This window comes from Homo sapiens, chromosome X (assembly GCF_000001405.40).
Source record: "Homo sapiens chromosome X, GRCh38.p14 Primary Assembly".
Taxonomy (NCBI): domain Eukaryota; kingdom Metazoa; phylum Chordata; class Mammalia; order Primates; family Hominidae; genus Homo; species Homo sapiens.
Genome location: NC_000023.11, coordinates 8,292,617 through 8,304,990, shown reverse-complemented (window position 1 = coordinate 8,304,990; position 12,374 = coordinate 8,292,617). Strand labels below are relative to the sequence as shown.

At 38.3% G+C, this 12,374-nt stretch overlaps 1 long non-coding RNA gene across 3 annotated transcripts in view; it reads right to left on the bottom strand.

The window, feature by feature from the left end:
- The window catches only part of LOC107985675 (uncharacterized), a 528,885-nt gene that overhangs the window by 151,394 nt on the left and 365,117 nt on the right, over positions 1 to 12,374 (bottom strand). The window lies entirely within an intron of this gene.

Genomic DNA, 12,374 nt, shown 5'->3' with positions numbered 1-12,374 from the left:
CACCTCAGATGGCATACAACATGTTGCAACAGAGATCAAGAAACAGAAATAAGGGCAAATGATTTCTCCTCTTGTTATTGGAATGAATGATGCAATGGGTGAGAGTCTCCTACTCAGTGTGCAACAACTCTGCGGCAGCTACACGAATTCCCGCACACCATAAATCAGAGCAAAAGAATGTCTGCTTCCTGGATCTTGGATAACCTGCTGTGTTTACAGAGGAGAAAAAGAACACATATCTAAGAGAACCAGTTTCATTTCAGAGAACCGTACCTAGGATGAAAGCCCTGCCTGAAGTCATGATGTCTTCATTTAGCTGCATCCTTAAACTCATCTCTCCTTTATGCTACAGCTGGGAAAGCTGAGCAGTGAACCAAACTCAACCCATTACTTTCTCTGGGGTTTTTCAGGCTACCAAAAGCATAAGCTTATTTCTTTCAAAATAAACAAGTAATCTTATGCACAGAAGAAAATTGCACCCTGCTGCATAATCAATAAACTCAATAATTAGATCAAGAAACAGAACAAAGCAAAACATTTCAGGAACACAGAGAAAGGAAAAGGAGCTTCTTGGAGGAGATGTGCTCAGAGAAAGACTCAGGGTTTCACTCTTTGATGCAATTTGAAGATCCCTGAAGAAAGTGCTCCCCAAATATCCCCCGGTAGGATGCCTGAAATTTCATGCTCAGATATCCTTCCTTCCATTGGGATGAGGGTCTCTCAGATGCAGTTCTGCAGATATTGGAACATACAGGGTTTTGGAAGAAGCAATGCAATAAACAGTAATAACCTCTGTGCAGAAGTTTAAAGGATGTTTTGCAAATGACAGATAAATGGTGGTTCTGAGAGGACAAGTCCTATTTAGGATAGTTTTGTTTGAAGTATTTGGGGAATGAAGCTGGGTACTGCCTGCCCGAGGTAGCTGACTTGATTAGAGAACCTAGCTGAAAGGCACTGGGTTCTTGAGCAGATGCTGGCTAGAAGAAAAAAAAAAATGTATGGATCCGGAGTTCTAGGATCAGGAAAGCCAGACTTTACGGTCTTATTTATGCCCTGTAGCGGCAGTACCGGCCATTTCAGGATGGAAACCTAAGCTGTTTTGCTTGATGAACAGAACACTTCTATTTTCACTCAAAAAGACTCAGTGATATGTTAGATTCAACAATTTAAAAGAGAAGTTTACTTAGCTGTGGCATACTTGAGCTATTTTATTACACCAATTTATAATTTCTTGGCCCTGTGGGCTTAAATGTTTCCAGGTGGCATAATGAACATTTTTAAAAACTAAATTTGAAAATTTATACTGAAGTCATTTGGCCTAAATAATTACATGGAAGAGAGTGAAAAAGTTTATACATCAAAGTGGTATTTTTTTTCCTCATAGCTAATATTTTATATAATGCAGAGTTAAGTACGTTTTGCTAAACCTCAGAGTGAAACACAGACCTTGGCAACATATAGTACCATGAGGTTAAATAGGGGCTGAAGACAGTAGTCTCTAACTATTCCTATATTCATAAAAAGAATTTCTGGACACATTATTTTATTACTTAGAATAAAGATGGCACATCATGTCCTGTGACAACCTACCAATCACCTACCTGTGGCCCATAAAGAAGGGTACAAATTCAAGAGAATTTTATCAAAAATAGTGAATGTGTGCTTATAATAGGTTATCATCCAAATAGAAGACTTATGCCATTAAGGGTGAAAGTGAGGGCTCCCTGTATTTCATGATAGGGAAGGGGCAGTTCAAAAGAGCCATTCCAAGGGATCAAGCATGACAGATAGGCATGTTACTTAACAGAATGCTTACTGATTTGCAGAACTTGACTTACTTTCCTGCCTTTTGGGTGTGGCCATATGTTTTGGAATGTTCTTGGAGGGCCTTGCATATGTCCCTGAGACTTTGAGGGTCTACATGAAGAAGGTGAGTGGTATCTACTGACGAACTGCAAAATCCTCCAGCTGGGGGCAGTGGCTCACGCCTGTAATCCCAGCACGTTGGAAGGCTGAGATAGGCAGATCGCTTAAGCCCAGGAGTTCAAGACCAGCCTGGGCAATGTGGTGAAACCACATATCTACAAAAAATAGAAAAATTAGCCAGGCATGGTGTCTTGCACCTGTAGTCCCAGCTACTCAGGAGGCTGAGGAAGGAGGATCACTTGAGCCTGGGAGGTGGAGGTTGCAGTGAGCTGTGATTGCGCCACTGCACTCCAGCCTGGGCTACGGTGAGACCCCATCTCAAAGAAAAAGAAAAAAAATCCCGAGGGCCCGAGAAGCTTGGAATAGCCAAAAGCAAGGAGAGGGTGCATGGTGTGCGGTGAGGGAGGGGAGTGTCTATATCCCTTCACCCTCCACTTGATGTGATAAGAACATGTTTTTCTTTTTTCTTTCTTTCTTCCTCTTTCTTTCTTTCTTTCTTTCTTTCTTTCTTTCTTTCTTTCTTTCTTTCTTTCTTTTCTTTCTTTCTTCCTTCTTTCTCTTTCTCTCTCTCTCTCTCTTTCTCTCTTTCTTTCTTTCTTTTCTTTCTTTCTTTTTTTTTTTTTTTGATGGAGGAGTCTCGCTCTGTCACCCAGGTTGGAGTGCAGTGGCACAATCTCGGCTCACTGCAACCTCGCCTCCCTGGTTCAAGAGATTTTCCTGCCTCAGCCTTCTGAGTAGCTGGGACTACAGGCGCCCACCACCATGCCTGGCTAATTTTTTTTATTTTTTGTAGAGATGGGGTTTTGCCACATTGGCCAGGTTGGTCTTAAACTCCTGACGTCAAGTGATCGCCTGCTTCGGCCTCCCAAACTGCTGGGGTTACAGGCGTCGGCCATCCACCATGCCCTTCCAGAGTATGTTTTTCCTTAGTTACATGGACAATGGAAAAGGGCACCAGGCTGAGGTCTATCTTAAAGTTAGTATGTTCAAGTTAGTATGTAAAAGTGGTACAGCCCTGGAGAACTTCAGCCGTAGGAGCCTGGGTCTGTAACCCTTGGGGAAGGAGGTTGGAAGGTCAGAGGGAGGCAATCTAGAGAACACTGCCGTAGCAGGCAGCTGTGCAATGCTCAGCACCCCGTGGGCCTCCCAAAGAGCTCCTGGGCCAACCCATGGAAAGACCAATGTTCTACCCTCATACACATGCCATAGCGTCCACACTGATCACCAACCAGCCTTAGCCAAGAGAATCCTGAAATATTAATAACAAGACTAGTTCAGAGAACGAACTCCCCTTTCTTTTTCTTGCCCCAAATCTGGAAGAGGCAAAGTGGGAAAAGGAGGCGGAGGAAAGAGTGGAACCATCTCTGTTCTTCTACATGTCCCTAAGCCTCAGCTTGGGGTAAAAAGAGAAGCTCAGTATTGGATCCAAATTTGAAATCAAAATTTAAACTGGAAAGCACATTTTAATACAAGAAAATAAGACTTAATTACAACAAGGAGACTTTCCCGCACCGTTGGAAATGTCTGGAAAGCTATGGGAATGGTCAAGACGTCTTTGGGAGTTGGAAAAAAGGTCCCTAGGATGCAGTATGTTTGAGGGCAGTGTTAAAGAAAAATAAAGCCTTCTCCTCTGTGTTGGTCACTTAGTTCAGATTAGATCCATTTTTATTCGAGTAGATCCTCGGGTACATTTCTTCTCTCTGGTATCTCCATTAGTCCAACTTCTCCAAGCAGCCAGAGTTCTCATTTCACTTCCCCTTCTGTGCAATTTCAAGCCTTACAACATCCGCTAAGATGTAGAAGAAAGAATCTCTTTGTTTTTTTTTCGTTATCGCCTTCCAAGGAGGCTTCTGAGACCATTTTTTCCTAATCAAGCCGACATAAAGTTTTAATATCACAGAAATACATCTGTTTATGTACTGTACTGTATCTTACTTGATATATAAGTATAGTACGATTTTTTTTGCCACTTCCCACCGAGAGCATTTTTTGAGAATGCATGCCTTTGGTAATTCACTTACTCCAACTGCCTCAGGTAAAATAACGAAGTGAGTCGAGTCAATGGTTTTCCATACTAAATATGGAGGAACTCTTATGGCACAGAGAGTTGATCCCATGAACACCCAAGGGGTAAGGGTGAGAAGGGGGTGGGCACCAGTGCGAGTGCCATATTGCTCTCACCCAGAAGGGCCACCATCCACACTGGGTTCTACAAGAATACCGTGGAGTAGCCCTTCTAATGCAGCCTGAACAGCTGTTTTAATATATCTCTGTGTTAGGGTTCTGTGCAATATGACAGTTCATAAAAATGGTTTAGTGAAAAAAGGGGAAAAATTTTCTTGTATCCATACACCTGAATGTCCCCCACATTTTCAAATTCTAGCTTTGTGGTTAATAATGCCATAATGAATACTGGAATTTTAACAGAAAGGTGACTATGTACTCAGGAAAACTCAAATATTTGTGGAATTCCAGCAAAGGGGGAAAATGTATTTTTATGGGATTTTCCTCTGTGTCTTTCAAATCAACCCACTGACAGTTTGCTGATAAAATCTACTCCATGAGTTCATGGGACAGTCCTTCCAGTGATATATGTTTATAGCTTTATATTTTTTAGGAAAAAAACGAAACCTATAATATAGTTGGTAGATATTTTGTACCTCATGACATTTTATTCAATGCATTATAAGAGGGCTCATTGAAATTAAAATACTACCACTGTAAAATCTGATTATGATATATTTGGGTCTCATTTCATGGTGAGAAAAATGTTATACAAGAGGTCAATAATGTATTAACTTTTATCACTTTTTCAGTTTGTATGGTTTGCAGCATGATAATCCAATCAATCACACCATTAGGTTTGATGCAAAACCAACAGAACTGTACATATAGATACATGCTATAAGCCCAACTTAAATTCTTGCCCTGTTGTGAGGAGGTGTTAAATAGGGAGAGATCTATTCCCTCATTAATGTATGAAATATTACGGGGAAACAGGAAAGAGTGGTTAATTCAGTCTAAGAGGTTCTAGTGACAGGATCAGGTGACTTTTGAGCTGGGTTTTGTAGATTCTTGGAAAGAAGGGAATGGAATAATATTCCAGATGCAGGAAATAACTCAAATAAAATGTCCCAGGAGTCTTATAGTGTATGGTATTTCCATCTAGTTCTTGGATTCTTTGGGAAAACTGATACGATGCATGGTAAGAAAGAGGGGGAGATGAAAGCAGGCTCATAGAGACAAGAAACCACTACTAGGTTTCTTATTAGTGGTTTCTTATACGACTTCTTATATGATGCTGTGTTTTAGATTTACCGTGTATATGATGGTGAGGCCCTGGGAGTTTTAAGCAGAAAAGAGAGGTGTTGTTCCCTACAAAGCACAGAGTGTATAAACAGTAGAAAAGTCAGTAATCTGATGGAACCAACGCTAGGTTTGGCTAGTCTTATGTCCCAGAATCAGTATTATTCAGAAGTTCTTGCTACAGAATTGAATTAGCCAATGTCCATGTAAAACAATATGATTTAGTTCTGCTCATAATAAAGCCACTTGAAATTGTTCAGATATTTATTTTTTGGAGCACTGATACATACATATAGATGTAATTATAAATCAATATATGGATGATATCTATATCTCTACCTATGATTGAAAAGTAATGATATTATGCTATTTTTATTTATGGATAATTGTCTTTGGGTGAGAGATTTCAAGTTCGGAATTAACCTATATAATATTTTAATCCCAAACAAGAACAGTGAAATGTAAAAATATCACAGCATAGAATCTTCAGAAGAATAGCTTCAGATACAGTCCTGAAGAGATTTCAAAATGGCAGAATGGAAAATAAAATGAAATAAAAAAGATCAAGCAAGCTACACATCTCAGGTCAGACAGCTGTCAAGTGTATTCTCTGTTGAACCAAGTTCTGAACTGAATCCACGTGAACGCAATGAATGAATGAGCTGTAAACTTATTTTATGATGAGACAGAGAGAAAGAGAGGTTTTGCTCAAGAGTTTGTGCCAGAGTTTTGATTTTAATAAACAAAGTGTGGCATATGAGCTCTGCTACACCCATGTCAGGACATTGCCTTTAATACATACTGTCCCAAAAACACATATCTCATTATTTTTGTAAATCTGATTTCAACATGAATACTGTACTCTGTGTTGAAAAGTTCCTAGCATTTGTGCTATCATTGCTGATAACTATGTATTTATTTCATACTTTCATAATAATGCCATATTAAAGTATCCATGTGCACATTTTCAAATTGCAGGCATGATCCGGGCCTGGCGGGGTCAGGCTGGGAGTGAATGCCTCTTGGGTAGGGAATCCTATAAGCTCTATTACTTGGATGATTACCAAAACCCAACAACTTAGTTATCTTTAAAATTATACTCTCTTTGCTGAAATAGAGAATTTTTTATTTCTTTGAGATATATAGCAAGCCAAAACTTATAGTTCTTCCAATATGAAAAATGGTTCTTTGAGATTATTAAAATCAGACTGATTATTGAAGTGGCACTTCTTCAAGAAAATAATATGCAGGAGAACAAAAGCAAAGTTTACACATAAAAATATTGATACTTCAGATAATGAATTTTTGTTATATGGAAAGATTCACAGCAGGATTACTTGAAATGCTGAGCCCTCCCAGTTGCCCACACAAAAGGAAAGAGTTAAAATTCAAGATTTGGGAATCATCCATTATCAAGCAAATAACGTCAATACATCAACTCATTTACGTTTAAACTCTGATGCCTCCAGTGTTTCTCCTTGTTAGGGTTTGTCCACATTGACTGAGAGGGAGTATTAGAAGACATCGCCCATAGCTGCCTGTGGCCCTCTGAAGGCCACTCTAGTGAATCTGTTTCAAAGACACTCAGCACAGGCTGAATGAATGTTTTGATGAAATAGCTTGTAGAGTAGAAGCAGTTCCAAATGGAACGTCTCTTCTATACCTCACCTTTCCCAGAGGTTACTGGCTAGAGTTTGGACATGGATTTATGCTGGATGATTTCATGCACTGGAGTTGCCTGCCCTATCATTTTTAAGCAGGAGTGACAAATCTCTAGAGATGATTAAGCCAGGAATGTATGCTCATAGTATAAGACTGGATACTATTCCTCGCTGGACTTATAGACATAACATTTAACGTAGGGAAATGCCAAGGATGATCTAATTTGAGCTGGACTTGGCTGATGTTCCATGCATATAATAGCTATAGTAAGCAGTTCATGACTGGAAGAAAAATCAAATAAAAAAGGTATCTCCTGGATATTGCTAAATGAAAAAACAAGCAGCAAGTCATAGTGTTATTGTTATGAAAATAAGACTAGGAAATCTAGAAAAGTATTTACGTAGCTCACTAATGATAGAGAGCAGATTATCAGAATGAGGTAGGGTAGAGAATGTACTTTATATTATCGTGCTTTATTTGTGTCTTTTCTTAAAAAAAAAAAAAACAGGCACACACTATATTTGTAATCTAATTTATACGTTAAAGAGGCTCTATCATGTACTTTCTGTTCCTGACCTTACTCAAATTTTCCTGTTACAACCACCATGTCATCTTTCCTCAAATACAGGGAAACTTGGTCTTTCATCACTAAAGGAAAAATTATTGATTAGAAATGATCTGCTTTTACTGATTCAGATAAACTTGTCTTTAATACACAAATGTTTCTTTAGAATGACTTTTTAGCATTCATTTTTTTAAATCATGTTTAATGCAGATGATAGATAAGACAGATAAGACATAGAAAGTGTAAGAGAGAGAAGGAAGGAAAGGGAAGGAAGGGAAGGGGAAGAGGAAAAGAAAAGGAAAAGGAAAGGGAAAAGAAAAGGGGGAGAGAGGGAGGAAGGAAAGAAAGGAAGGGAGGGAGGGAGGAAGGAAGGGGGAGCGGGAGGGAGGGAGGAAGGAAGGAAAGAAGGGAGGAAGGAAGGAAAGAAGGAAGGAAGGAAGTTAGTTAGTTAGTTATCTTATTCTGGGCCTCTCCCAGAAGCAAAGCCTCAAACAAGAACTTTGTGTACGTGGTTTATTCCATTGCTGATCTCAGAAATCAAGGGTAAGGAATGGAAGAGTTTGGGCACACGAGTTCAGTGCTCCCCTTTCTGCTTAGGAGTATACGAAAAGACTTTGCAATTTCACCATAGAGAGAAGCCTTTATCCAACAGCACCCATCGCCTGTGGACTGATAGTTGCCTCAGGAGGATTAATTTAATTAATTCCTCAGCTATGAAGCACGCCCAGGGGTCATCTCAGAGTTCTACAAAGCACATGTTGGAGAAGGTCCAGGATAGAATGCATAAGATGCATAGTGTGCCCCTAAAGAGTGATATTGTCAAGGAAAAGTGGGTGAAACTTGAAAGGAGCTGTTCACTGCTGCAGCATCTGGGCTCACAGGTAGGGCCGACAGATGTGTGGCTGCCCAAGGGAAAGGCTGGATAGAAAGAACGGGGAAAATTACATTTCTTGCTTTCCGAAAGATATTTTTCCTGTTGTCAATCGTTTTGGCATGAAGCCTGTGTGCTGAAGATCGTTTCTTTACAATCATCATTCACGGGAAGTGATTCCCCGCTCGACTTGCAGAGGGCAAAGACCAGGGAGACTTTGGGGATGTTTGCTGTGCCATTACTGCTAAGCCGTGACCATCAGCACTGAGAAAAATAACATGAAAAATATGATTTTATTGTCATTAAAAACATATAGAAATTCTCACAGTATAATTGGTCTGCATCATAAATGTATTTATCTCATCAGTGACAATCTATGTCCTTTTCTGACTTTTTTATTGTGTCATTTTTAATAGTATAAAAAGAACAGTAAAAATCATTGGCCTATTCTTCAAATTTAGGATTCAAACAGCAATGCAAATATGTAGTGTTTATTCAAGACTCTACCAAAAACCAGGAGCATTGACATAACTTTGTATATGGCCTAAAAATAGGAGGAATAATGCTATTTTCCAAAGGTCAAGAATCATTATTAGGCATCTTTGTGTTTTTATCAATGTTCTGTCTCTACAGGGTTCCAGGTACCATGCATTAGTCAAGAGATTATGAAAAATGTGTAGCAGTTAAAACATTAATAAGAAATAGAGTGCTGGTATGTTTCATCTGTATTTTAAAAGAGTGAGATGACATAAAAATTACCTTGTATACTTATATACATTTATCATAAAATTTGAGCATCTGTTTACTGAAATTCAAAAGCAAAATTACAATGCTGTTGAAAGCTTTTAGCCTGTGAATCTTCAAGAATTGGAGGGATATCCATTTGTCTTGTAAGAGATGAATACAAAGAGATGAATACTTCTGCCTTGCAGCAAAGAAATACATAGAATAACCTTTTGAGATCCCACTTAGTTTCTGAATTCTATAAATAATACTGAAAATTATTTCAGAAGCCCACGTAATGATTACTTTTTCTATTTGTAATAAATAGATTATAAAAGTAATATTTTAATTATAGCTTCTGGGTCATTAAATCAATCAATGAGGTTTTGGCATTTATTTGGTTTGATAGTTCCGTAAGTGGGTTGGCTGGTACTATGTTTTATTCTTGAAATGCCTGAATTAAGATTGAGTTCCCTGAGTCACTACTTTTAGGGACAGATGTGTTTCCACATTTAGTTAACATGCAAAGCAGTTCTACACAACACAATCTGTTAGCGTACACTTACTTCCTAAGCACAACCAAGTGCTTTTCCTTTTTTTTTAATTCTGCCAAATTATTCTGCTGTCACATATTCCAAAGCATCAGTGTCTAACAGATGACTACTTAAGTCCTGAGATTTTTCTTAAATTATTTTATAGTATGATAGAGTGTTGCAGGTACCCAAAGATACAAAGGAACAAGTCCCTCTGGTTTCAGAGGCAATGACATGAGATCTAAATAATATATGTAATTCGATGTCATTATTATCCCCATATTTTAACACTGTTTGCCAGTTCCTATGGATTAGAAAAATGTATAGTGATTGTGTTAGTCGGGTGTTTTCCCAAAGCAGATCTTGAAATGAAGATTTGAGTGCAAGTAGAAAGCATGAGAAACATGATGAAGAAATGAGGTAAGACAGGAAAACAGTTGGGTTAGTAGTTGATATGTTGATGCACAGGAAATTGCTGTGGGCTACAGAAACTCAGTCCCACTACAAAACCTCTGCAAGATTGTGGAACACACTTCAGAGTTGTCTTCCACTAGGGACTAACAAATCTCATCTCTCTTTAATTACAACCAGATCGGGATTCAGCCAGGGGATTCACTTGCCAGCATTTCCAGCATCCAGAGAAAATTTTTGAGTGCAGAGACACAGGAGTGTGAGGCTTGAATCTGTGGTCCTGTGCAGAAATTGTCCACCCAGATGTATGTGATCTCCAAGGTGGTTGGAAAGCCTATTCATGGTAGTCTCAGTCTATACTACAGAGTCATTGATTGAGCATTCTCAATCAACTCTAGTAATTGGTTGACTATTTAATTAATTACTATCAGGCATTTACCAGAGGGCAGACCCTAGGCTAGGTGCAAGGCATAAGGAAAAAACCAACTTAACTCTTTTCTTCTTCTCCTGGAAACAATGCCTCAAATAAACAGCCCCTCCCTCTGTTTAGTCTTTCCCTATTATTCAAATTAAGGGTACTCTATTTTCTGGACCCTATGGCATTTTTGCCGTATTTCCATTTCAATACCTACTGTGCTACATAATTAAATGAGTCGGTATCGTGTCTCATTTCTCTGACACTCAAAACATTGAGTTTGTAGATTGCATCTGGCGGTATGGTAATTTTCACAGTGTTGATTCTACCCATCCATGAGCATGGGATGTGTTTGCATTTGTTTGTGTTGTCTATGATTTCTTTCAGCAGTGTTTTGTAGTTTTCCTTGTAGAGATCTTACAAGTTTTCCTTGTAGAGATCTTTCACATCCTTGGCTAGGTATATTCCTAAATATTTTCGTTTTTATTTTTCCTCTTTACCAATTTGGATGCCCTTTATTTCTTTCTCTTGTCTGTTGCTCTGGCTAGGACTTCCAGTACTATGTTGAATAGAAGTAGTGAGAGTGGGCGTCCTTGTCTTGTTCTAGTTCTCAGGGGGAATGCTTTCAACATTTCCCTGTTCAGTATAATGTTGGCTGTGGGTTTGTTGTAGATGACTTTTTTTTTAAGTATGTCCCTTCGATGCCGATTTTTCTGAGGGTTTTAATCATAAAGGGATGCTGGATTTTGTAAAATGCTTTTTCTGTGTCTATTGAGATAATTGTGTGACTTTTAATTGTGTTTCTGTGGTGTATCACATTTATTGACTTATGTATGTTAAATCATTCCTGCATCCCTCTTATGAAACCCATTTGATCATGGTGGATTATCTTTCTGATATGCTGTTGGATTCAGTTTGCTAGTACTTTGTTGAGGATTTTTGCATCTATGTTTATCAGGGATATTGATCTGTAATTTTCTTTTTTTGTTATATCCTCTCCTGGTTTTGGTATTAGGGTGACAATGGCTTTAGAGAATGATCGACTTAGAGAGGATTCCCTGTTTCTCTATCTTTTGGAATAGTGTTAATAGGATTGGTACCAATTCTTCTTTGAATGTCTGATAGAATTCAGCTGTGAATCCATCTGGTCCTGGACTTTTGTTTTTGGTAATTTTTTTTATTGCCATTTCAATCTCATTGCTTGTTATTGGTCTGTTCGGAGACTCTATATCTTTCTGGTTTAATCTAGGAGGGTTATATACTTCCAGGAATTTATCCATCTCCTCTAGGTTTTCTAGATTATGCCTGCAAAGGTGTTCATAGTAGCCTTGAATAATCTTTTGTATTTCTGTGGTATCAGTTGTAATATCTCCCATTTTGTTTCTAATTGAGCTTATTTGGATCCTCTCTCTTTTCTTGGTTAATCTTCTCTCTTTTCTTGGTTAATGGTTAATGGGCTATCAATTTTATTTATCTTTTCAAAGAACCAGTTTTTTGTTTTATTTCAATTTTTTTTTCAATTTCATTTAGTTCTGCTCTGATCTTCATTATTCATTTTCTTCTGCTGGATTTGGCTTTCAATTGTTCTTGTTTCTCCAGTCCCATTAGAAGTGACCTTGGATTGTCTATTTGTGCTGTTTCAGATTTTTTGATGTAGGGCTTTCCTCACTAAAGGAAAAATTATTGATTAGAAATGATCTGCTTTTACTGATTCCGATAAACTTGCCTTTAATACATAAATGCTATGAACTTTCCTCTTAGCACTGCCTTTGCTGTATCCCAGAGGTTTTGATAGGTTGTGTCACTATTATTGTTCAGTTCAAAGAATTTCTTAATTTCCATCTTGACTTCAGTGTTGACTCAATGATCATTCAGGAGTAGATTATTTAATTTCCATGTATTTCCATGGATTGGAGGGTTCCTTTTGGAGTTGATTTCCAATTTTATTCCACTGTGGCCTCA